This window comes from Homo sapiens, chromosome 3, assembly GCF_000001405.40.
Source record: "Homo sapiens chromosome 3, GRCh38.p14 Primary Assembly".
NCBI lineage: Eukaryota > Metazoa > Chordata > Mammalia > Primates > Hominidae > Homo > Homo sapiens.
In genome coordinates this window covers 121281630-121309177 of record NC_000003.12, presented here as the reverse complement: position 1 = coordinate 121309177, position 27548 = coordinate 121281630, and the positions used below count along the sequence as shown (strand labels likewise).

At 34.6% G+C, this 27548-nt stretch overlaps 1 protein-coding gene across 13 annotated transcripts in view; it reads right to left on the bottom strand.

Annotated features, from left to right (window-relative positions):
• The window catches only part of STXBP5L (syntaxin binding protein 5L), a 516557-nt gene that overhangs the window by 115584 nt on the left and 373425 nt on the right, over positions 1-27548 (bottom strand). For 6 of the 13 annotated variants that reach the window (NR_145516.2, NM_014980.3, XM_006713825.4 and 3 more), the window contains one exon: positions 26841-26912. The exons of 3 other annotated variants lie outside the window; for them this stretch is intronic. Coding sequence is in view for 7 of the 10 variants with exons in the window: in NM_014980.3 (NP_055795.1) it covers positions 26841-26912 (72 nt within the window). In the remaining 3 variants the exon portion in view is untranslated. Of the gene's footprint in view, positions 1-51; positions 2920-14350; positions 14455-26840; positions 26913-27548 lie in introns of those variants that run through there. 4 more of the 13 variants (XR_924217.3, XM_017007534.2, XR_001740373.2 and 1 more) reach the window with 4 other exon arrangements.

Genomic DNA, 27548 nt, shown 5'->3' with positions numbered 1-27548 from the left:
CACTTAACATTTAATATTATTGATATAGTTGGGTTACACTTGTCATTTTCCTTTTGGTTTTCTCTGTCTCATGTTTTTTTTTGATCCTCTAGTCTTTTACTGCTTTGTTTGGCATTAAGTGAATATTTTCTTGTGCAGCATTTCATTCCTTTGATTAATCTTTCACCATATTTTCTGGAGTTTTCCTAGTGGTAAAACTTACCGTATACATTAGAACTTACTGTATATATCCAATCAGAGTCTACTTCAGATGTATACTGACTTAATTCCAGTGAGATACAGAAATGTTAATTTTTAATAGCTGTATTCTCTCTTATGTGCTGTTATTGGTATACAAATTAAATCTATATATTTTACAAACCAATAAAACATTATAATTACTACTTTATATAATTTTATTTCTTTTATAAAAGCTAAGAAATAAGAAGAACAAGCATATATTTATAACCTTCTGATTTACCATTTACCATTTTTTATTCTCTTTATTTGTTCTGGTGAATCCAGGCTATCATCTGGAATAATCTGTTTACTGAAACAGAACTTTGCTCCCACCCACTTCCTTTATGCTCTTACTGACAAATGTATTTAATTTCTATGTTATAGATCCCCAAATAACAATTATATATATGTTGTTTTATAAATTGCTTTAAAAATCAGCTGAGAGAAGAAATATGCATTTATACTCTTTCATAATTACATAGTTACCTTAACATGCTCTTTGTTCCTTTGTGTAGATTTAAATTACAATCTAGGTTCACTTTCTTTCAGCCTGAAAAACTTCCCGTAGTATTTCTTGTAAGGTGGCTCTGCTAGTAATAAATTCTCTCAGTTTTTGTTTACCTGACAATGTCTATTTCACCTACATTTTTGAAAAATACTTTTGCTGGATATGAGGTTTTTTTAAAAATTTAATTTTATTTTAAGTTCTGGGATACATGTGTAGGACGTGCAGGTTTCTTACATAGGTAAACGTTTGCCACGGTGGTTTGCTGCACTTATCAACCCATCACCTAGGCATTAAGCCCCACATGCATTAGTTATTTATCCTGATGCTCTCCCTCCCCCTGCTCCAACAACAGGCCCCAGTGTGTTGTTCCCCTCTGGATATAAGTTTCTTGAATGACAGTTTTTTCGTTTGACCAATTTGAATATGTCATCCCATTCCCTTCTGGCCTCCATTGTTTCTGATGAGCTGTTAATCTTGTAAGAGTTCCATGTATGTGACAAGTCATTTTTCTCTTATTGCTTTCAAGATTTTCTTTTTGTTTTTTGCCTTGTAGCGTGTTTCAGCATGTTTACTATGATGCATCTGGTTGTAGATATTTTTCCATTTATCTTCTCGGAGTTCATGGAGCTTCTTGGATGTGTAATTAATGTTTTTCATAAAATTTGGGAAGTTTTCAGTCATTATTTCTTCAAATATTTTTCTCCTTTCTTCTCTAACTCTCCTCTCCTTCTGCTAATCCTATTATGTATATGTTGGTGCACTTAATTGTGTCCCATGTTTCTCTGAGACTTTATTTTTCTTCATATTTTTTTCTCTCTGTCCTTCAGAATGCACTGTCTCTATTAACCTATTTTCAAGTTTACTGGTTGTTATTTTTGCTAGTTCAAATCTACTGTTGAGTCCCACTACTGAATTTTTCTTTTCACTTACTGTACCTTTCAACTCCAGAATTTCCATTTGGTTCTTTTTGTAACTTCTATTTCTTTATTTATGTTCTTGATTTGATGAGACATTGTCATCATAGCTTCCTTTACTTCTTTAAGCATAGTGTCTTCCAGTTCTTTAAGCATATTTATAATGGTTGTTTTGAGGTCTTGGTCTGTTCAATCCAACATCTGGGCCTTCTCACAGGAAATTTTTGTTGCTTTTTTTCCCTGTGAATGAGCCACACTTTGTTTCTTTGCAAGTCTCATGATATTTTGTTGAGAACTGGATATTTTAGGTAATATATTGTATCACTTCTGGGTACTGACGACTGATTCCTCTCTCCCCTCTCCAGTTTTTGCTGTTTGCTTATTTATTTATTCAGTGACTCGGCTAGACTATTTTCATGAGGTTTATTTCCTCTACATTGTGAAGACTTTGAGGTTGCTTCTCAGAAGGCACAGTATTCAGTGTATATAGTCACTCTGGGATGGCAGTGATTTTAGCAGGATTCTCTTTAACTATCTCCTTCATCTCTCTGTTAACCTGTCTGCCTCTGTTAATATCATATACAGCTGTTACACTGCCAAATCACAGCTGGGTAATTGGTCTATTATTTTATTGTTTTTCAAGCTTAGCATCCACCAGATGTTCTATTATTTTTGACAGTACCCTGGGACATACATTGTACAGTATTCTGATCTAATTTAATTTGATAAGGGGTCATTTTTCAGGCTAGTCTTTGAGGTTTAAATCCCAGGAAGGCTCTTCTTAGCAGTCTCGTTCATTGGTTCTCACTGGTCTAGTCTGTTGCCCCTAATTAAGAGGTGCTATCAATTACTTCCTCTTATTTCATTATCACCAAATTTCCCATTGGTCTTGAGAGCACACTTAGGCTTGAACTTTCCCACACTGTTTCATATAAGGCTAGTCACTTTGGGGAGGGCTTTGAAGCTCTCTATTCACGTAGACCGCATTTCTTTCCTGGGCAAAACCTTTGAGCCACTAGTCTGGGCCTTGGGCAAAGGTGGTATCCTCTGGTCTTCTCAGCTTATCTTTTCAAGCATAAAACTTCTGCCCTATGAGCAAGATGGGGTAAGGGCAATCAGGGATTCAATATTTTATGGTACTGAGGTCTATGCCTGGGGTAGAGCTTCTGTCCTGTCATTGGGGAATGGTCAGAAGGGAGCCTCTGACCTCTTGGTAACACTTCCCAGGAATTTGGTCTCTTCAACTTGGAGTTGGAGGGGATGAGAAATGCTGGCAACCTGGAAGGGGGAGAGGAATTAAGTGAGTTGTGGTTCAAGTGCCACAGACTCTCATTGTTTCTACCAAGTTTCAGTAGATTTTCTTGAATAAATATGTCTTCATTTGCTATATGCCCTTACGACAATTTCTGGAGACTTTACATGGTTGTTTTTAAAATAGCTTTCATAAATTATGCTCTTCCACTCAGGAATAAGTCTATGATACTCCTCAGGCTGCCAGCTGGAAGTCTATCCTGTACATGGTATTTTTTTAAAGTTCATTTTCAAATTGTTTGCTGTTATTTATATAGAAATATAATTAATTGTTGTCTACTGACATGTGTTCTTCAGTCTTGCTAAATTCACTTATTATTTTTGTAGTTTCCTTTGGGTTTTCTACATACACCATCATACCATTGGCAAGTAAAGACAGTTTTAAATTTTCTTTCTAATCTTTAGGCATATAATTTTTTAATCTTGCTTTTTGTCCTTACTAGGTTATGAACTAAATGTTGAATAAAAGTGATGATAGTAAACATCCTCCCCTGGTTACTGATTCTACAAAAAAAAGTCAGTATTTCACAATCAAGTATGATGCTGTAGATTTTTCTTAGTACGGTTTATTCTATTGAGGAAATATTCTTCTATTCTTGTTTTGTTAAGGATTTTTATTTTAAAATATCTAATTTTATCAAATGTTTTCACATGTATTGATATGACTGTATTATTTTCTCCTTTCTTATGTTAATCAGTATTTTACATTCATTGATTTTCAAATTTTAAACTTGCATTCCTGGGATAAATCCACCTTGGTTATGATGCTTTATCTTTCTTTTATATGTTTGTCTTCCATTTGCTAATATTTTATATCTGATTTTTGCATCTAGTTCCATAAATGAGACTGACTTGTACTTTTATTGTACTGCCTTTGTCAAGTTTTAGTTATCAACATTGTGCTGGTTTCAGACAAACAGTTGGAAAGATTTCCTTCTTCTTTTATTTCCTGGAAGAATTTGCATAAGATTGGTGTTACTTCTTCCTTAAATGTTTGATAGCATTAACAAGTGCAGCCACCTGTGGCTTGTAGTTTTCTTTGTTGTGGGTATTTAATTTTGAATTAAAAAATGTTAATGATATGGGTTACTTATATTTTCCAATGTGTTTGGTGTTACATTTGGTGAGTTTTGTCTTTCAAGGAATCTCTTAATTTCATCTAAATTGTCAATTTCTGGGAATAGAGTTAATAATCTTACTTTATTTCTTTAATGTCTGTAGAATTCAGTGATGCTTTTTTTTCACTCCTGGTATTAATTATGTTTCTTCTTTCTGGATCAGTATTGTTAGGGTTTTATATAGTATTTTTGAAGAACTGTTTTGGGGTTTTGTTGATCTACTCTGGTTTGACCTCTATTTCGTTCATTTTTGATGATTATTATTTCCTTTACATTGGGTGGTTTACATTGCTCTTACTTTTTAATGTCTTAATCAAGAGCTTTAGATCATGAAGTAGAGATTTAAAAAAAAATCTAACATAACATCTAATGTTCTAAATTTTCCTCTAAGCACTCCTTCAGTAATATCTCATAAATTTTGATATGTTGTGTTTGTACTTTCACTCAGTTCAAAAATATTTTAAAATTTCCTTTGTAATTTCTTTTTTAAGCTATGAGTTATTTAGAGATGAGTTGCTTAATTTTCAAGTATTAGGGAATTTTATACATACTGTTGATTCCTAATTTAATTCCTTTTGTGGCCAGAGAACACATTCTATTTAATTTCAATTATTTGTAATTTATTATAACTTGTTTTATCGCCCAGTCTATCCTTGTGAATGTTACGTGTTTACATGAAAATAATTTGTATTTTCAATTGCATTGTGTAGGTGTGTATGTTATTAGATCAATCTGGCCAAGAGAGTTGCTTTAGTTTTTTATAATCTTACCAATTTTTGTCTATTTGTTCTGTCAGTTACAAAAGAGAAATGATGAATTTCCAGCAATGATGGTAGAATTGTCTATTTCTAGTTTTGACAGTTTTTGCTTCATATATTTTGAATAGTTCTTATTAGGTTTATGCAAGTATGTAGGATTTTTATATCATTCTGGTCATTTATTTTATTAATTTGAACTGTTTATCTCCTTGCCTTGAAGTCTACTTCATCTAATATTAATATAGCCATATCAGCTTTTTTGGGGATAGTGTTTTCATGGAATTCTTTTCCCCTTCTTTTACTTTCAACGTATTTTTTTTTTATATACTTTAAGTTTTAGGGTACATGTGCACAATGTGCAGGTTTGTTACATATGTATACATGTGCCATGTTTGTGTGCTGCACCCATTAACTCATCATTTAACATTAGGTATATCTCCTAATGCTATCCCTCCCCACTCCCCCCACCCCACAACAGGCCCCGGGGTGTGATGTTCCCCTTCCTGTGTCCATGTGTTCTCATTTTTCAATTCCCACCTATGAGTGAGAATATGTAGTGTTTGGTTTTTTGTCCTTGCGATAGTTTGCTGAGAATGATGGTTTCCAGCTTCATCCATGTCCCTACAAAGGACATGAACTCATCCATTTTTATGGCTGCATAGTATTCCATGGTGTATATGTGCCACATTTTCTTAATCCAGTCTATTATTGATGGACATTTGGGTTGGTTCCAAGTCTTTGCTATTGTGAATAGTGCTGCAGTAAACATACGTGTGCATGTGTCTTTATAGCAGCATGATTTATAATCCTTTGGGTATATACCCAGTAATGGGATGGCTGGGTCAAATGGTATTTCTAGTTCTAGATCCCTGAGGAATCACCACACTGACTTCCACAGTGGTTGAACTAGTTTACAGTCCCACCAACACTGTAAAAGTATTCCTATTTCTCCACATCCTCTCCAGCACCTGTTGTTTCCTGACTTTTTAATGATTGCCATTCTAACTGGTGTGAGATGGTATCTCATTGTGGTTTTGATTTGCATTTCTCTGATGGCCAGTGATGATGAGCATTTTTTCATGTGTCTTTTGGCTGTGTAAATGTCTTCTTTTGAGAAGTGTCTGTTCATATCCTTTGCCCACTTGTTGATGGGGTTGTTTTTTTCTTGTAAATTTGTTTGAGTTCATTGTAGATTCTGGATATTAGCCCTTTGTCAGATGAGTAGATTGCAAAAATTTTCTCCCATTTTGTAGGTTGCCTGTTCACTCTGATGGTAGTTTCTTTTGCTGTGCAGAAGCTCTTTAGCTTAATTAGATCCCATTTATCAATTTTGGCTTTTGTTGCCATTGCTTTTGGTGTTTTACACATGAAGTCCTTGCCCATGCCTATATCCTGAATGGTATTGCCTAGGTTTTCTTCTAGGGTTTTTATGGTTTTAGGTCTAATGTTTAAGTCTTTAATCCATCTTGAATTAATTTTTGTATAAGGTGTAAGGAAGGGATCCAGTTTCAGCTTTCTACAGATGGCTAGCCAGTTTTCCCAGCACCCTTTATTAAATAGGGAATCCTTTCCCCATTTCTTATTTTTGTCAGGTTTGTCAAACATCAGATAGTTGTAGACAGGTGGCATTATTTTTGAGGGTTCTGTTCTGTTCCATTGGTCTATATCTCTGGTACCAGTACCATGCTGTGGAAAGATCTAAAATTGATACCCTAACATCACAATTAAAAGAACAAGAGAAGCAAGAGCAAACACATTCAAAAGCTAGCAGAAGGCAAGAAATAACTAAGATCAGAGCAGAACTGAAAGAGATAGAGACATAAAAAACCCTTCAAAAAATCAGTGAATCCAAGAGCTGGTTTTTGGAAAAGATCAACAATATTGATAGACCGCTAGCAAGACTAATAAAGAAGAAAAGAGAAAAGAATCAAATAGACACAATAAAAAATGATAAAGGGGATATCACCACCAATCCCACAGAAATACAAACTACCATCAGAGAATACTATAAACACCTCTATGCAAATAAACTAGAAAATCTAGAAGAAATAGATAAATTCCTCAACACATACACCCTCCTAAGACTAAACCAGGAAGAAGTTGAATCTCTGAATAGACCAATAACAGGCTCTGAAATTGAGGCAATAATTAATTACCAACCAAAAAAAAGTCCAGGACCAGATGTATTCACAGCCGAATTCTACCAGAGGTACAAGGAGGAGCTGGTATCATTCCTTCTGAAACTATTCCAATCAATAGAAAAAGAGGGAATCCTCCCTAACTCATTTTATGCGGCCAGCATCATCCTGATACCAAAGCCGGGCAGAGACACAACAAAAAAAGAGAATTTTAGACCAATATCCCTGATGAAGATCAATGTAAAAATCCTCAGTAAAATACTGGCAAACCGAATCCAGCAGTACATCAAAACGCTTATCCACCATAGTCAAGTGGGCTTCATCCCTGGGATGCAAGGCTGGTTCAACATACGCAAATCAATAATTGTAATCCAGCATATAAACAGAACCAATGACAAAAACCACATGATTATCTCAATAGATGCAGAAAAGGCCTTTGACAAAATTCAACAACGCTTCATGCTAAAAACTCTCAATAAATTAGGTATTGATGGGACATATCTCAAAATAATAAGAGCTATCTATGACAAACCCACAGCCAATATCATCCTGAATGGGCAAAAACTGGAAGCATTCCCTGTGAAAACCGGCACAAGACAGGGATGCCCTCTCTCACCACTCCTATTCAACATAGTGTTGGAAGTTCTGGCCAGGGCAATTAGGCAGGAGAAGGAAATAAAGGGCATTCAATTAGGAAAAGAGGAAGTCAAATTGCCCCTGTTTGCAGACGACATGATTGTATAGCTAGAGAACCCCATCATCTCAGCCCAAAATCTCCTTAAGCTGATAACCAACTTCAGCAAAGTCTCAGGATACAAAATCAACGTGCAAAAATCACAAGCATTCTTATACACCAATAACAGACAAACAGAGAGCCAAATCGAGTGAACTCCCATTCACAATTGCTTCAAAGACAATAAAATACCTAGGAATCCAACTTACAAGGGATGTGAAGGACCTCTTTAAGGAGAACTACAAACCACTGCTCAACGAAATAAAGGAGGATACAAACAAATGGAAGAACATTCCATGCTCATGGGTAGGAAGAATCAATATCGTGAAAATGGCCATACTGCCCAAGGTAATTTATAGATTCAATGCCATCCCCATCAGGCTACCAATGACTTTTTTCACAGAATTGGAAAAAACTACTTTAAAGTTCATATGGAATCAAAAAAGATCCCGCATTGCCAAATCAATCCTAAGCCGAAAGAACAAAGCTGGAGGCATCACGCTACCTGACTTCGAACTATGCTACAAGGCTACAGTAATCAACCTATTTATGTTTTTATAATTAACGTGCATCTTTTATAAATAGCATATACACTGTTTTTGATATTTGTTTCTTTTTAATCCTGTCTCAGAAGCTCTTTTTCTTTTTTTGGAATGTGTACTCTATTTAATATAATCTTTGATGGGGTTAAGTTTATGTCTATCATCTTTCTAATTGTTTTCAGTTTGTCCCCTCAGTTCTTTTTTTTGTTTGTTTACTGTTACTCTTTTCTGTCTTTTGAGAAAATAAAATATACTTAGTATTCCATTTTATCATCTCTTTGGCTTCTTAGCTACACCTCTCTGTTTTATTTTCTTTAATGGTTGTTCTAGGGATTATAATGTGCATCTATTTGTTAGATTCATTACAGTGCATCTTTAATTATTCTTACATCACTTCTCCTATGTTGAAAAAAACAACAGTATAATTCTGTATACTTCTCTTCAATACTTTGTGTTACTGTTATCATACATTTTACTTCTACATGTTATAAATCCCATAATACATTGTTACTTCTGAAAGAGTAACACAGAGTTTACGGAAAGACAAAATACCTTTTTATATTTACCCACATATTTATTATTTCCAGTGCTTTTCATTCTTACCTGTATTCCTAATTTTCCATCGTTTTTTTATCTGCTTTAAAAATTTTCTTTACTATTTCTTATAGTACAGATCTGTTAATTCATGCACTTTCATTTTTGAATGATATTTTTGCTAGATATAGAATTCTGGATTGACAGTTGTTTTTCTCTAGCACTTAAAAGACGTCATTATGTTGTCTCTAGCTTCAATTATTTCTGATGGAAAAAATCACTCATTATTCATATTTTTCCCTTGTATTTGTATGTGTGTGTATGTTTCTGTACTGCTTTTAAGATTTTCTCTTGTAGGTTGGTTTTAGTAGTTTGACTATAAAGTCTTAAGTGTCGTTTTCTTTGTATTTTTTTTTTTTTTTTTTTTGAGATCAGGTCTCTGTTGCCCAGGCTGGAGTGCAGTGGTGCAATCATGGCTCACTGCAACCTCTGCCTCCCAGCTCAAGCAATCCTCCAACCTCAGCCTTGCAAGTAGCTGGGACCACAGCTGCATGCCCAGCTAACTTTTTGTAGTTTTTGGTAGAGACAGGGTTTTGCCATGTTGGTCCGGCTGGTCTTGAACTCCTGAGTTCAAATGATCCACCTGCCTCAGCTTCCCAAAGTGCTGGGATTACAGGCATGAACCACCATGCCTGGCCTTTTTGTATTTTTCTAGTTTAGGGTGTTTTGAGCTTCCTGGATCTTTAAGTTGATGTTTTTCATCAAATTTGGAAAAAATTTCAGCCAAAGTCACTGATGTTCATTTAGCTTAATTATTATTATTATTTTTTAACTCTGTGCTTCTGTTTGGATCATTTCTAGTGACGTGTATTCAAGTTAACTGATAGTTCCTAGTGCTGTGCAATATATTGTTAAAGCAATCATGTGAACTTTTGTTTTTGAAAGGAATGCCTTTTTATTCAAAAAGTCCAATTTAGGTTCCTTGGTAGTAAGTATAAAGGGTGCCTTGACACTTCCATAAAGATGTTTAAATGTTACTGTCTCTGAAAAAACAGTTTTAGAATATGAAACCTTTATCCTCAAGGTTTCTATGAATATGAAACTCCTCAAGGAGGAAAAACATCACCAGCTTAATTATTTCTATAAAATATCTTCCTCATTTGCTTTTCATGTTGCTAGTGGGAAAAGATAGTAATACTGTTTTCAAAAAATGACGATGATAGATGATTTCATGAAACTTGCTTTTGATTTTTTGTCTACTTAATACCTCAATTCAGAGGTCAGAGATGAATATAGGATTATATATTATCCTTCCATGTTGATTTTTACAAGATCTGCTAGGAGAGCAAATACAATTGAAAATATGCTGTTGTGTTGGTGATTGTTACCCTACACTGACTTCACAAAGGTTCTTATAATTAGGAGAAGAACCCCAAAGACACTTAACTCTACATATATAATCAACACATATATTCAATGGTAAAAAACACACAACATGAAATCTACCTTCTAAACAAATTTTTCAGTGTACATTACAGTACTGTTTACCATATTCACACTGTTGCACAGCAGATATTTAGAACTTGTTCATCTTGTATAACTCAAACTGTGTATCCACTGAACAGTAGCTCTCCATTTTTCCCTCTCCACAGATCCTGGCAATCATTATTCTACTTTCTGCTTCTGTGAGTTTGACTATTTTAGATATACACCATATAAGTGGAATCATATAATATTTGTCCTTCTATGACTGGCTTATTTCATCTAGTGTAATGTCCTGAAGGCTCATCATGTTGTAGCATATGACAAGATTTTCTTTTTCTTTAAGGCTAATATTCCATTGTATGTATCTACCACATTTTCTTTATTCATTCATCTGTCTGCAGATATTTAGGTTGTGTAGAAGCTTTTAGTTTGATGCGGTATCACTTACGTATTTTTGCCTTTATTACCTGTGCCTTTGATGTCACATTCAAGAATTCTTTGCTAAGACCAATGTTATGAAGGTTTTCACCTATATTTTCTTCTGGAAGTTTTACAGTTTTAGGTCTTATGTTTAATTTTTAAATGCATTTTGAATTTATTGTCACGTATTGTGTAAGATAATACAAATAGCCAACAGTTATATGAAAATAACATCACTAATCAACATCACTAATTATCAGGGAAATGCAGATTGAAACTACCATGAGATATCACCTCATACCTGTTAGGATGGCCATTATAAAAAACAAAACAAACAAACAAAAACAGAAAATAACAAGTGTTGATGAGGATGTGGAGAAATTGGAATCATTGTGCACTATTGGTGGGCATGTAAAATGGTACAGCTGAGATGGAAAACAGCAATGAGGTTCATCAAAAAATAAAAAATAGAACCACTATATGATCCAGCAATCCTACTTCTGGGTATTTATCCAAAATAATTGAAAACAGGATTCTCAAAGAAATATTAGCATTCTCATGTTCAATGCAGCATTATTCATTAACAGCTAAGAAACAACCATGAACTTTTAATTTCACATATTTTATTTTTAAGTTCTATAATTTCCATTTGGTTCTTTTTCAGCGTTTCACTTTCTCTTCTAAAATTCCCCAACATATTTACTCAGCCAAACCATCTTTTCCTATATATTCTTTTGGCGGTTGGGAGCAGAGTCTCACTCTGTCGCGCAGGCTGTAGTGCAGTGGCGCGATTTTGGCTCACTGCAACTTCCACCTTCTGGGTTCAAGCAATTCTCATGCTTCAGCCTCCCAAGTAGCTGAGACTACAGGCATGAGCCACCACACCCAGCTAATTTTTGTATTTTTAGTAGAGGCAGGGTTTCACCATGTTGTCCAGGCTAGTCTGGACCTCCTGACCTCAGGTGATCTGCCCACCTCTGCCTCCCAAAGTGCTAGGATTATAGGCGTGAGCCACCATGCCCAGCCTCTTTTCCTATATATTCTTATAATAGTTCTTTTAAAGTTCTTGGCTTCTAATTTCAATTTGGGTCTCTATGGATCTGCTTCGACTGACTTTTGTCCCCCCACTCAATTATGAGTCACAATTTTCTGCTTCTTTGCATGTTTTCTAATTTCTGATGGTATGATCTGTGTACAACAGTAGTAAAAACTAAAGAATCATTCATATATGTATATTATCACTAATATCAGGAATATCACACACACACACACACACACACACACACACACACACATATAATGTAGAATCATTCAGATTCTGCTAAGTATTTAAGCTGGGGCTGGGCTGTAGCTTTAATAAGATTAAGTTCCACTGTTGTTTCAAATTGGACTATGAAAATCTCTCTTTATTTCTCAATCCAACACTCAATCTTTTATACCCCCTTTGCCAAGGGACTGATTGTTATTTGTATTGGTATTTGTGCAGTGACACAGTTGGGATGCTGTTTCAGATAGTTTTAATTCATCTTAATTCAACTTTTGGTTAAATTCTATAATTACCCCAGAATACAGCACATTAAGACTGCATAAATTTCTCTGCCTTCCAGTCCACCTGCATTGCTACTTTTGCAGAAAAATTCTGAGATTGGTGAGGGTTTAGTGGCAGACAATTGCCAACTTGAATGATTTATTTTTCTATTTAGGGTTGTTTCAAATTCTTTCAAATTCCAATCTATAGGTCAGTCCAAACAGCCATTAAACCTCACTGGCTATTTTCTATTCCTTTCAGTCTGTCTATCTATCAAAAGCCCACTCTTTCCCCCACCTATACCCAGGTCAGTCACTAGCCCCAGGTATGGAAGCAGCAGTAGCTTTCTGCTCACCTGTGAATGGCTCTTCTCTGTCTGGCATTCAGTTAATTAGACTTCTTTGAATGTATCACTCTTCCATAGCCCCATAGAAAAGGATAATTTTAATTTTATTGTCATTACTATAGGATTTTGTTGTTTTCATCATTGTTCCTACCATGGGGATTAAGGTCTTTTACATCTTTTAACATCCTATCTGGAAATGGAAAGCCCCTCTTTCACTTATATTTGAAATATTGGAAATACTGTGAAAGCTGGATTGAAGACAGGAGGAATCAGTGGAATGGAAACCAGTTAAGTTGGTTAATCCATTACTGACATTAGTAGGTATTCTACTAAAGTACTCAGGGTACAAGTCAAACATCATGCTTTTGCTAATACTCTAATGAGCACTAAATGATGAAATTTCCCCAAGATTTTATGTGGATAAAGCTGTGTCTGACATGTGAATAGAGTAAAGCAAATTGGCTACTAAACTTGAAGGTTTTTACAGTGATTCATCAGAAAGTATGTAATAAATTCTGGTTGGAACAGATACAGAACTTTTATGGTAAATAAACAATTGAGTATCAGAAATATGATTTCCTGGCTACTGTGAATCACACCAACTTTTATAACTTAAAAATATACACCTGTGATGTAGCTTACTTGGTAATATAATAAGATAGTACTTTAAGTAATAACTTGTAAACATCAAATAAAATATCAGTATTCTCTAGGAGACTTATACCCAATATACAAATATTTCCATCCATATAGTCTACACTTTAAAATTTTTGCTTACTAAATTATTATTTACAATTGTGTTCTAAATGTTTTCAATTTGATTTCACATTTTGGCTAGATAATATTTTGTTGTAGAAATACATTGTAGATGTAGGTGTCAGTAGACTATCCCTACTCTTCAGTTGTGACAATCAAAAAGTTCACAGACATTGCCAAATATCCCTGGGGTACAATGTTATTCCTAGTTGAGAGACTGTTTTATTTGTCTGACTCACGATGAGATTACTATTAACTAACGTCAAGAAAATTCACACATACTGCTAGGTAATATCTCCCGTATTTTGTATGTTTTTGTTGATTTTTGTAAATTCAAAGATAGAAACATATTTTTTCCTACTAATTACAATTCAAAGTAGTTGATTTTCAACATAAAGCTTTGTAGTAAGAAATTTACACTGTAAAACTGATTTTAAGAGGAAAAACTACTAAAATACTGAACTGAAAATCAGATATAACAATCACTTGTTTCATCTCTCAATGAAACAATGTACTTTTCAATGTATCTCTTCATTCTGTAGTTCTCTCATTTCTTTTAAAAAAAGTCTGTCTATACTAATAGACAAAGCCTCCTATTAAATGTCAGTCCTTGTACCTGTGCTTTGATTCCCATTCCTTCTCACTTCCTTAAGAATTTTTTTCCTTTAGTTATCCCCTCTCTCCCTTATCCTCAATCTCTTTTTCTATGGATCATTCTGTATTCACATAAATTAAAAATATGCTCTTTTCTCTAAAATTAAAAAAACCCCAAACTACTCCTTTTAACATCTTACTCCAATCCAGGTATTAATCTATTTTTCAGCACCCCTTCATAACCAAATATCTTTAAAGAGGTATTCAGTTGTGCTGTTTCCTCACCTGCCACTCTTCAGTTTAACAATATTTTGGCTTCTATTTCATTGCTTTTCTAAAATCGCTTTTTAAAGGGTCACTAACAACTTTCACAGAGCCAGACACACTCTAATCACTTTTCTGAACCTATCCTACTTAGCTTATCTGTAGCATCTGATGGAGTTTACCACTTCTTGAAACATTCCCCAGGTTTTTTGTTTTGTTTTGTTTTGTTTTTTCTTCTGTGAAGGTCTTTTCCTTTTTCTCTTCTCCCTGGCAACTCCTCTTCTTCCTGAAATTAAATGTTGAAATTCCTGATATCTCTATTCACAAATCTCCTTTTCTTCCCTACTCCCTTATCTCTCTCTCTTGCTTTCTCTTTTTCTCTCTTGTCTTCTTCCTTCTATGCTTCCTCCTTCCCCCACCCTTCTTCTAGGTAATTTCATTTATTCCCATGCCATTATATACCACCTATATGCTAAAGACTCAAATTATTGCCCTAGACCTCTCATCTGATATTCAGACTTACTTGTCCACTTGACATCTCCATTTATACAACAGACATAATAACATTTAACGTGTCTAAAACTGAACTCTTTATTTCCTACCACCACATGCCCCCTCCTATCTCAAGCTTCTTCACCTTTGTAAAAAATATCATGACAATAAGTGGCTCAAGCCAAAATCTGGGAATAATCTTTGATTCCACTCTCTTATCTCTCACATTGAATGATAATCAGTAGCTCTGTAAATGCTAATGATTTCCGAATCTATCCTTTTTTCTCCAACAGCGTTGCTATCACCCTAGTCAAGCCACTTCATTTCCTGCTGGAGTGCAATACTCGCCTTCTAATGGGTACACCAGCTTGCTTTCCTTTTTGGCTCCACAATATTTTCTTCACACAGCAGTGTGGATATTTATAGCATAAATCAAAGCATATCATTCCCCTGCTTAAATTAAAATATAATTTCTTGTAATTACTTCAGAAGCTTTTATGATCTTGTCCTTACTCATCTCTACAACAAAATCTTCACTCACTTTTTCTCTTCCGCATGACTATGTCAGCTTCCTTGCATTCTTTCTGTTTCTAGATGATATAGTTAAGTCCTTTACCATCCTAGAACCTTCTATTTTATTTATTTATTTACTTATTGAGGCAGAGTTTTGCTCTTGTTGCCCAAGCTGGAGTGCAATGGCACCATCTTGGCTCACGGCAACCTCCGCCTCCCGGGTTCAAGTGATTCTCCCGCCTCAGTCTCCCAAGTAGCTGGGATTACAGGCACCCACCAATACACCCGGCTAATTTTTTGTATTTTTAGTAGAGACAGGGTTTCGCCATATTGGCCAGGCTTGTCTTGAACTCCTGACCTCAGGTGATCCACCCACCTTGGCCTCCCAAAGTGTTGGGATTGCAGGCGTGAGCCACCGCACCTGGCCTAGAACCTTCTTATAAGCTGTTCACTCTGCTTGGAATGTGCTGTTCCCTGCTCTTCTTTGCGTTAGTTCTTCTTTTAAAAAATAGCCTTGTTAAGGTTTAATTAATGTTTATAAAATGTACTATTTGAATACATTTTGACATACGTATACATCCATAAAACCATCTTTGCAATTAACATAATAAACACTTCTGTCATGCCCAAGAGTTTCTTTGTGCCCTTTTGTAACCCTCTCTTCCAGCCCTCACCATATGTGTCCCTTCCCATTCCCAGGCAATTACTAATCTGCTTTCTGTCACTATGCATTGCTTTTCATTTCCTGGAATTCTATAGAAATGGAATCATACAGTAATGTGTCCTTTTTTTTCCTGATTATTTTTACTCACTACAATTATTTTGGATTCATCCATGTTGTAGTAGTTATCAATAGTATATTCTTTTTTATTGCGGAGCAGAGCACCATTGTTTGGATTTGCCAGAATTTGTTTATCCATTTACTTAATAAAAATTTGAGTTGTTTTAGTGTTTAAAATTTAAAATTTTTTTTTCGTTTTAATAGGTTTTTAGGTAACAAGTGGTGTTTATTTACATGGATAAGTAGTGGTGATTCCTGAGATTTTAGTGCACCCATAACCAAGCAGTGTGCACTGTACCCAATGTGTCATCTTTTATCCCTCACCTACCTCCCACCCTTTCCCTTGAGTCCCTAAAGTCCACTGTATCATTCTTATGCCTTTGCAGCCTCATAACTTAGCTCCCACTTATAAGTGAGAACTTACAATGTTTGGTTTTCCATTCCTGAGTTACTTCACTTAGAATAATGGTCTCCAACTCCATCCAGGTTGCTGCAAATGCCATCATTTCATTACTTTTTATGGCTCAGTAGTATTCCATGATATACCACATTTTCTTTATCCACTCGTTGATTGATGGCCATTTGGGTTGGTTCCATATTATTGCAATTGTGAATTGTGCTGCTATAAACATGCATGTGCAAGTGTCTTTTTCATATAATGACTTCTTTTCCTCTGGGTAGATACCCAGTGGTGGGATTGCTGGATCGAATGGTAGATCTACTTTTGGTTCTTTAAGGAATCTTCATACTGTTTTCCATAGTAGTTGTAGTAGTTTACATTCCTACCAGCAGTGTAAAAGGGTTCTCTTTTCACTATATCCATGCTAACATGTATTATTTTTGATTTTTAAATTACGGCCATTCTTGCAGGAGAAAGATGGTATTGCATTGTGATTTTGATTTGCATTTCCCTGATAATTAGTGATAAGCATTTTTACGTGTTTGTTGGCCATTTGTATATCTTCCTTTGAGAATTGTCTATTCATGTCTTTAACTCACTTTTTGATGGGATTATTTGATTTTTTTTCTGGCTGATTTGAGTTCCTATAGATTCTAGATATTAGTCCTTGTCAGATGCATAGTTTGTGAAAATTTTCTCCCACTCTGTGGGTTGTCTGTTTACTGATTATTTATTTTGCTGTGAGGAAGTTTTTAGTTTAATTAAGTCCCATCTATTTATCTTTGTTTTTGCTGCATTTGCTTTTGGGTTCTTGGTCATAAAGTCTATGTTTAAGCCAATGTCTAGAAAGGTTTTTCCAATGTTATCTTCAGAATTTCTATGGTTTCAGGTCTTAGATTTAAGTCTTTGATTCATCCTGAGTTGATTTTTGTACAAGGGTAGAAATGATGATCCAGTTTCATTTTTCTACATGTGGCTTGCCAATTATGCCAGGATCATTTATTGAATAGGGTGTCCTTTCCCCACTTTATATTATTGTTCGCTTTGTTGATGAGTTGGCTGCAAGTATTTGGCTTTATTTCTGGGCTCTCTGTTTTGTTCCAGTGGTCTATGTGCCTATCTTTATGTCAGTACCATGAAGTTTTGGTAACGATAGCCTTGTAGTGTAGTTTGAAGTCAAGTAACGTGATGCCTCCAGATTTTTTCTTTTTGCTTAGTCTTGCTTTGACAATGTGGGCTTTTTTGGTACTGTGTGAATGAATTTTAGGATTGTTTTTTCTAGTTTTGTGAAGAATAATGATGGTATTTTGATGGAAATTCCATTGAATTTGTAGATTGCTTTTGATAGCATGGTCATTTTCACAATATTGAGTCTACCCATCCATGAGCATGGCATGTATTTCCATTTGTTTGTGTTGTCCATTATTTATTTCAGCAGTGTTTTGTAGTTTTCCTTGTAGAGATCGTTCACCTCCTTAGTTAGGTAAATTTCTAAGTATTTTATTTTATTTTTTTTACAGCTGTTGTAAAAGGGGTTGAGTTCTTAATTTGATTCTCAGCTTGGTCACTATTGGTATATAGCAGTGCTATTGATTTGTGTACATTGATTTTGTATCCTGAAACTTTACTAAATTCACTTTTCAGATCCATGTGCTTTTTGGATGTGTCTTTAGGGTATTCTAGGCATACAATCTTATCATTGGCAAATAGTGACAGTTGGATTTCCTCTTTACTGATTCATATGCCCTTTATTTATTTCTCTTGTCTGGTTGCTCTGGCTAGGACTTCCAGTACTATGTTGACTAGAAGTGGTGAAAGTGGGCATCTTTGTTTTTTTCTAATTCTCAGAAGGAATGTTTTCAGCTTTCCCCCATTCCGTAAAATGTTGTCTGTACATCTGTCATAGATGGCTTTTATTACCCTTAGTTGTTTTCCTTCTATGCTGATTTTGCCGAGGGTTTTAATCATAAAGAGATGATGAATTTTATCAAATGCTTTTTCTGCATCTATTGAGATGATCATACGATTTTAAATTTTGTTTCGTGATGTATCACATTTATTGACTTGTGTATGTTAAACCATCCCTGCATCCCTGGTATGAAACCCACTTGATTGTGGTAGATTATCTTCTTGATATGCTGTTAGATTTGGTTAGCTAGTATTTTGTTGAGGATATTTGCACGTACGTTCACCAGGGATATCAGTCTGTAGTCTTCTTTTTTGTTATGTCCCTTCTTGGTTTTGATATTAGGGTGATACTGGCTTCACAGAATGATTTGGGGGGAGGATTCCCTCTTTCTCTATCTTCTGGAATAGTTTCAATAGGATTGGTACCAATTCTTTTTTGAATGTCTGATAGAATTCAGCTGTGAATCCATCTGGTCCTGGACTTTTTTTGTTGTTGGCAATTTTTTAAATTACCATTTTAATCTCACTGCTTGTTATTGGTTGGTTCAGAGTTTCTATTTCTTCCTGGTTTAATCCAGGAGGGTTGTATATTTCCAGGAATTTATCCATCTTCTCTAGGTTTTCTAGTTTGTGTGCATAAAGGTGATGATAGTAGTCTTGAATGACCTTTTGTATTTCTGTTGTATTGGTTGTAATATTTCCCATTTGTTTCTAATTGAGTTTATTTGGATCTTCTCTCTTCTTTTCTTGGTTAATATCATTAATGTTCTGTCAATTTTGTTAATCTTTTCAAAGAACCACATTTTGGTTCATTTATCTTTTGTATTTTTTGTTTGTTTCAATTTCATTTAGTTCTGCTCTGATCTTTGTTCTTTCTTTTTTTCTGCTGGGTTTGGGTTTGCTCTTGTTTCTCTGGTTCCTTGAGGTGTGACCTTAGATTGTCTATTTGTGCTCTTTCAGACTTTTTGATGTAGGCATTAATGCTATGAACTCTCCTCTTAGCACTGCTTTTGCTGTATCCCAGAGGTTTTGATAGGTTGTGCCACTATTACCACTCAGTTCAAAGAATTTTTAAATTTCCATCTTGATTTCATTGTTGACCCAACTATCATTCAGGGGCAGATTATTTAATTTCTATGTATTTGCATAGTTTTGAGGGTTCCTTTTGGAGTTTATTCCACTGTGTGAATTTTATTCCACTGTGGTCTGAGAGAGTACTTGATATAATTTTGACTTTTAAAAATTTATTGAGACTTGTTTTGTGGCCTATCATATGGTCTATCCTGGTTAATGTTCCATGTGCTCATGAATAGAATGTATATTCTGCAGTTGTTGGGTAGAATGTTCTGTAAATATCTGTTAAGTCCATTTGTTCTAGGGTATAGTTTAAGTCCATTGTTTCTTTGTTGACTTTCTGTCTGAATGACCTGTCTAGTGCTGTCAGTGGAGTACTGAAGTACTGCACTATTATTGTGTTGTTGTTTATCTCATTTCTTAGGTCTAGTAGTAATTGTTTCATAAATTTGGGAGATCCTGTGTTAGATGCATATAAATCTAGAATTGTTATATTTTCCCGTTGGACTAGTCCTTTTATCATATTTAATGTCCCTTCCTGTCTTCTTTAAACAAGAAGGGACATTCTTTAAACAATGTCCCTTCATGTCTTTCTTAAATATTGTTGCTTTAAAGTCTGTTTTGTCTGATATAAGAATAGCTACTCCTGCTCACTTTTGGTGTCCATTTGCATGGAATGTTTTTCTACTCCTTTACCTTAAGTTTATGTGAGTCCTTATGTGTTGGGGGAGTCTCTTGAAGGGGAACAGATACTTGGCTGGTGAACTGCATGTTGTGGGAGTTTGGTGTACAGATTATTTAGTCACCCAGTAATAAGTATAGTGCCTGGTAGGTATTTTTAAAATCCTCTCCCCGCTCTCACACTCCACCCTCAAGTAGGCCCCAGTGTCTGTTGTTCACTTCTTTTTGTCCATGTGACATAGGACCTGACAAAGATTTCATGATGAAGATGCCAAAAGCAATTACAACAAAAACAAAAATTGACAAATAGGACCTAATCAAACTAAATAGCTTGAGCACAGCTATAAAAACTATCAACAGAGTATACAGACAACCTTCAGGATAGGAGAAAATATTTGCAAATTATGCATCCAACAAAGGTTTAATACTCAGAATCTGTAAGAAATGTAAACAAATTTGTAACAAAAAAAATGATTTTATTAAAAAGTAGGCAAAAGACATAAATAGACACCTTTCTAAAGAAGACACACATGATTCCAACAAGCATATGAAAAAATGCTCAACACCTCCAATCATTAGAAAAATGCAAATCAAAACCACAATGAGATACCATCTCACACCAGTCAGAATGTCCATTATTACAAAGTCAAAAAATAACAGATGTTGGAGAGACTGTGGATGAAAGAGAATGCTTATACACTGTTGGTAAGAGTGTATATTAGTTCAGCCATTGTGGAAATCAGTGTGGCAATTTCTCAAAGAACTTAAAACAGAATTATCACTCAACCCAGCAATCCCACTATTATGTATATACCCGAAGAAATATAACTTGTGGTTTACCATAAAAACACATGCATGCGTATGTTTACTGCAGCACTATTCACAATGGCAATAACATGGAATCAGTCTAAATGCCCATCAACAGTAGACTGGATTAAGAAAATGTCATACATGTACACCATGGAACACTACACAGCCATAAAAAAGAATGAAATCATGTCATTTGCAGCAACATGAATAGAGCTGGAGGCCATTATTCTAAGCTAACTAATGCAAGAACAGATTCTTCTTTTTAAAAGCTGTTTTGGCTACTCTAAATCCTTTGAATTTCTGTATGAACTTTAGAATCAGTTTGTCAGTTCCTACAAGAACATCTGCTGTATTTTTATTGGGATCTAGCATTGAAACAACAAATCGATTTGGAATGAACTGCCATCTTAATAAAATTGAGTTTTGTGAGACATAAACTTGGTGTAACTATTTATTTAAGTCTTCTTAACTTTTCTTAGCAATGTTTTCTGGTTTTCCATGTGTGGGTCTTTCTTTTTTTTTGAGATGGAGTCTCGCTCTGTCACTCAGGCTGGAGTGCAGTGGCGCGATCTCGGCTCACTGCAACCTCTGCCTCCTGGGTTCAAGCAATTCTCCTGCCTCAGCCTCCTGAGTTTCTGGAATTACAGGAGCCCGCCACCACGCCCAGCTAATTTTTGTATTTTTAGTGGAGACGGGGTTTCACCATGTTGGTCAGGCTGGTCTCGAACCCCTGACCTCGTGATCCACCCACCTCAGCCTCCCAAAGTGCTGGGATTACAGGCATGAGCCACCGCGCCCGGCCCATCAATGTGTGGGTCTTTCGTATCTGTTGTCTCATTTATGGCTAAGTACTTCTTATTTTTGATGATATTGTAAATGGTAATTTTAAATTTCAATTCAGATTGTTGTATGCATATAGAAATACAATGGAATTTTGTATATTAACCTTATATCCTGCACATTGTTAAACTCACATTTTTAGTTCTAGTAGCTGTTTTTGGCAGATTTCATTAAGTTTTCTTCATAGACAATCATGTGTTCTGTGAATAAAGACTATTTACCTTCTTCTTCCTTTCCAAATCTAGATAACTTTTATTTCTTATTCTTGCTTGACAACATTGTCTAAAATTTCCAGTACAATGTTAAATAGAAGTGGATGTGAGTTATGAACTATTTCTATTTAGGGTAGTGGAAATGGCACTATTTCCTTTATTTGAGTGTTGGGCACTGTTTCCTTTAATCCTTTCAGATGGCTCTTTACCTGTTCCTGGATAGCTGCATCATATGTATACGTTGATCAGCACTTTGCTCTAGGAGGAAACACTGTAGATCTCTGAAATTCTTTTGTGAGCTGTAGATGCTTTGGTTTCTTTGGTTTCTCATCTTCATCTCCCAGCCTAAAAAGCTCAGTGGTTTCCTCCTGGGCTTCCCCTCCCTTTGCTACAGTCTAGAAATTATCTTGCCATAGTAAATGCGTGTGATTGTTAGGTTTCCCATCTGTCCCATCATTTTTTTTTTTCATTGTTTGATACCCCGTGTCTTAAAAACCATTGTTTTCATTTATTTTGTCTATTTTGGGGGAATGGGTGTGGGGTTTTCAGGCAGGAGGTTAAATCTGGTACTTGCTACTCTATCTTTCTATCTTGGTTGGTAGTGAGAATCTAAAGCTTTGACTATTTATCTTGCAAAACTTCACTTAAATGTTTCCATGTTGGATAGGCCATTCCCTGACAACACTTTCAAAAATAGGTCCACCTTATCTCATTTTTCCCTATTATTGCATTGCCACCTTTCTTCAATTATCTATGACTTTATTTATCTGTATATTACCTGTTATAAATGAAAGGAAAAGACCATAATTGTTTCACTCATCACTATGTACTTAATGCCTAGAAAAATGTTTGACACAAGAGATGCTCAGTAAAATATTATTTGAATGAATGTTTTCCCCATTTATTGTTTACCATAATTTTTGCTGATTTTTGTTTCTTAAAGCATTTCTTCTTTAATTTTTTGTTTACTTCTCCATTCCTGACTTTCTGTTCGTTTTACAATACTTATTTGCCTTTCTTGGATAGTTCTCTTATCATCCCCTTTTCTTTTATTTCTTCTTTATGTTTCAGGTGTTTTTAGGATCTGTTATCATACCCCTACCCTTTGAAAAGAAAGGGATAATAGGCCTGGGACTCTCCAAAGGATCCCTTGTTGCATAACTAGAAATTGATGCACAAGCAATGTAGACAATTCTCTACATTAAGCCTACTTTTCAAACTTCCCTTGATTCAAATGGCATAATATCAGTTTTTAAATAGCAAAATTTATGTGATTATCATAAGTAGAACTGTTGCTAGGCAATGAGGCAGCAGCCTGAGTTTTAGTTCTACGTATTCCATAGATTTCTTATGATTCTGGAAGTTATTTAACCTCTCTGTGGTGTGGGTTGGTTCATCTTTTATAATAATTATAATAACTAACATTTATAGAATCACTTTTATTAACATTAACCCAGAAAAGTTCTACAACTCTCTAAGGGAGGTAGAAATTGCAATTTTTACTTTATATATTAGAAGAAAGAAACTCAGAGTGATTAAATGCCTTGTTTAAGATTATAAATGTATGAAGTAGCTAATAAATGGAAAAGGTAAAACAATGTAAATCTTCTGATCAGATGTCTGCTGTTCTTTTCAAAGCGTTTTTCTGCTTCTAAAAATCATAATCTGTAGAACACGAAAGTTTTCTTTCAACTACAAAATTTTATTATTCTATGATGTGAAAGTTTTGCCGCTTGGTAATTTAAAAATTTGGGGAGGTCAGCTGTTTGGAGCCTAACCTATGGAATAAGGTGACCAGTAAAAGAGTCATTGATATAATTTCATTGAGTGTGCAAAAACTGAGGTGTTTTCTGATTATAAAATAACGGACTTGGTTTCCAATGTTCCTGAAACTTTAAAAAAGACACTTAGAGATCCAAGATTATACAGTGAAAAGCCTATCGAGTAATTTTAGTGTCAGATAGGCATAAGTTTGGGTCCCACTTATTCTGTGTGGCTTTGAGAGACTAATTTCATTTTTTTCAACTTCAATTTTCTCATGTGTAGAGAAATATACTAATATATATCAATCTGCCTCAAAGGGTTATAATCACTAGTGGATAATATAACACTGAGTCAAACTGACTAGCAGAGTAGAATAGATAATCAATGGAACTGGGTTCTATTACCCCAAATATGAACAATGCATATATGCTTTTCTGAAAGTTAGTAAGCAATTAATGAAAAGGCTGAGCAGTGTCTACTATAATAAAGTGAGACTATAGAAATATAATCAGATTATATTATCCAATAGTTAAACTTCAAGTCAAATTTTCATTAAATGTATTTTGAAAAGCAATTGTAGGATATGCCTTTGAGTGGTTAAAGAATCAATCCCTTTTCATAATATACAATATCAATCATTCAGAGAAGACTTTTAGGAAATCTGATTTGAAATCCTAGAGCTTGTCTGAGCCCTTGTGGGGCCCACTGGTAGAGACACGGGGATTTCTTTAAGTCCTTCAACAGACTTGATTTTACTTCTGACTTAAAACGTTAGGTCTCTAGTTAGAAACTATGATTACTTTTGCAAAATTCTGGTGAACCTGTTACCTAGTTCTTCTCTCATTTGTCAGATTTGAAAAGTTTTCTGGCAGTTCATGTGAGAGAATAAAGTCTGCTGCCATGCTCTATCCTACTGACATCATCATTTACATAGAGACCTTGTGACTTGTGCTAGATGCAGGGAATATAAAGAATTTTAGATATGGTCTTGAGATTCTTGTCATGCATTTGGAAAGGCAGAACAAAAGTATAAAAGTAAGTAGCCATACAAATGAATCTAGGCTAAATGTCAACTAAATGGTTCAGGCAAGCCTGTACTGTGTACAAACCTGGACACTGGAAGCATTTAAATAAAGGAATTGGCACAACAGGGCTCTGATGGTGGTAGGAAAGGCTTACTATAGAAAGTAAACTTTTAGCAGGGCATTTCCAGAGAGTGGATAATATGAGTAAAACATAATGGTAGTAAGATACAAAAATTTGGCTTAAGAGGAGAATAGTAGAAAATCCATTTGAGGTTGTTGATAGAAATTATACTTTAGAGGATCCTGAATGATGGGCTGAAAAAAAATTCTGAAGGAAATATAAGGAATATAAGAAAATATATTATTGAGATTTCTCAGAACTTTTAAAAACTTTACATCATGGCTGATATTATAGGATCCTGATGAACTAAGAGCCCGCTTCTGCTCCTGACCTTCAGTCTCCAATTTAGCTTCTTAGCATAAAATAATTACAAGTTTATTACAGAAAAATCAGAGTATACTGTAAAGCCAAAAGAAGTCTGTAAAATCCACAAAGCCATGTTCCAGAAACTTTTCTGTCTACACACACACACACACACACACACACACACACAAGCACACACACAAATGTAGGAGATCCTACCTTCAGAAGGCTAAACTGGGATTCTGAAATCTGAATATGTGTATTAAACTACCCTGAGACTATTTACAGAAAGGTTTTGGCTGAAATCCTTTATGTGGTGCAGAGGATGGGTATGAAAAAATGGCACAGAGCAGGAATCAGCAAACTTTAATGTAAAGAACAGGATAGTAAACATTTTAGGCCTTGTGGGCATATAGTTTCTGTTGCAGCTACTCAACTCTGCCATTGTAGTGTGAAAGCATTTAAGGACAATATATAATGAATGATTGGGACTATGTTCCAATAAAACTTTATTACAGAAACTGAAATTTTATAAAATTTTCAGATGTCAAGAAATATCACAGTTATCATAGTATCAAATAAGCTTCTGTTTTAGGAGCAGCAGAAGCCAACATAGATACCAATATTCTCGCACACAGCAACAGGAACAGAGAGAGTGGGAAGGATTCCTAAAAGGGGGTGCTCTGCTAGAGTAGAAAACTAGAGAATATTTATGAGCAAAAATTACTCAACTTCTAGGCATTCCCAGGAACATTTTAAGGATTTCATAGAGACTGACTTTTGTAAGCTAAGGGCATAAACCAGTAAAGTTTTAGGTTTTATTACTGATAAGATTCCATTAGTATCTATGAACTGGTGAGGTCTGAAGGAATTCAGGTTACAAACAACATATATGTGTGAGTGTGTGTATATAATGTATAATGTATATGTTATACAACTATAAGGCCATTTTGTATATATTGTTAAACAACCTGCTTTTTAACAGAATATATTAACATATGATAAACATTTTTTATGTCAATAAATATTTACCGATAAAATCACTAGTCTCATCTGTACCTCCAGTCACACACACTCTCACTCTTCATCCTTTCTATACCAGTTTTTATAATTGCTTACTCTAGATATCTTCGGATCTGTGTTTGATACCATGGTAAAGGTTGATATTATTTATTTGTTTACTTTTTACCTTAATTATCCTACTTTATAATGTCTGAGTGCCTTAAATCACCATAGAAATATGTTTGTATATTTTAATAAAAATCATCAGAAATCAGGAATACTTAGTTATCTTCAAGGAATATAATTATTTAAAAGAAGCAAATATTGTGACCCTGGTTAGAATAGTATTATAAAATGGCCAAAGCATAAGGTTGCCAAAATAAGAAAGCATTAACTTATTACTGATACTGGCATGTCAGTAATAAGTTTTATTATTTACAGGGCATCATAGCTCTTCCTCCTCAAAATAAAAGACAGTGACTCTTGGAATAGTAGGACATGGTCTGCATGGTTGGAAATAAACACTGAAACAATGGGTATGATTGAATGGGTACAGGACAAAAATGGATTGAAATATTTCTATAATAATGTTTATTAAAATTATCAGGTTGCACACCATAACAAAACAAAAATTTGCATGCATGCTGAATGTGTTTTAAGAAACACATTACTGAGCACTGATGTATGGATTTAACTCAAGCATTATGTCTTAAAAAGGCTATTTGCCTAACCTTTATATAACTTACTCTGATAGGAAGTACGGATCCGTTTCGTTAAATCAGGATAAAAGTTAGACAGGCCACGCATGCAAAAGTTGTCTTTGGAACATGCCAGACCACCAGCATCAGCAGCAGGCAGAAGAAAGAGAAAAAAAAGTCTAAAGTGAAAGGAAGTGATATCATACCAGAATCTAGAACAGCCAAGATGAAGAAATTGCAGCAAGATTAGGTAATTAAATTAGAAGGAGATATTAATAAAATAAATCAATTATAAAGTAAGAGGCGATAGATGAATGATGAGAATGCGGTAGTAATTTTAACATTTATTTAAATATTTAATATAAAAATATTTATAAATATTTATTTTTATCTTATTTAAATGTCTTATAAAAGTAGATGGCACATTTTCCTTATATGTTTTTACAAAATACACTTCTTTGGCTTGTAACTAATATGTATAAATTATTTCATTAATAAAAAATGATTGTCTTTAATCCTTCAGCAATTAAAAAGAAAGCTAAAGATTTCAGTCTTTAATACTTCATTGTTATAATATAAAGTGAGTTCTCACTGTGTCATCTTGTACACTAAACACAAACTGAGTTTATAACTTCACAGATTTTCCTGATTTTAAAGTCATCAATGTTCTAAGCTCTAGTAGTAACTGTTAAGGTTCAAGCAGTTTAATTTAAATTAAATAATAATTGTATTACCTTTGTCAAATTATGTACTTTT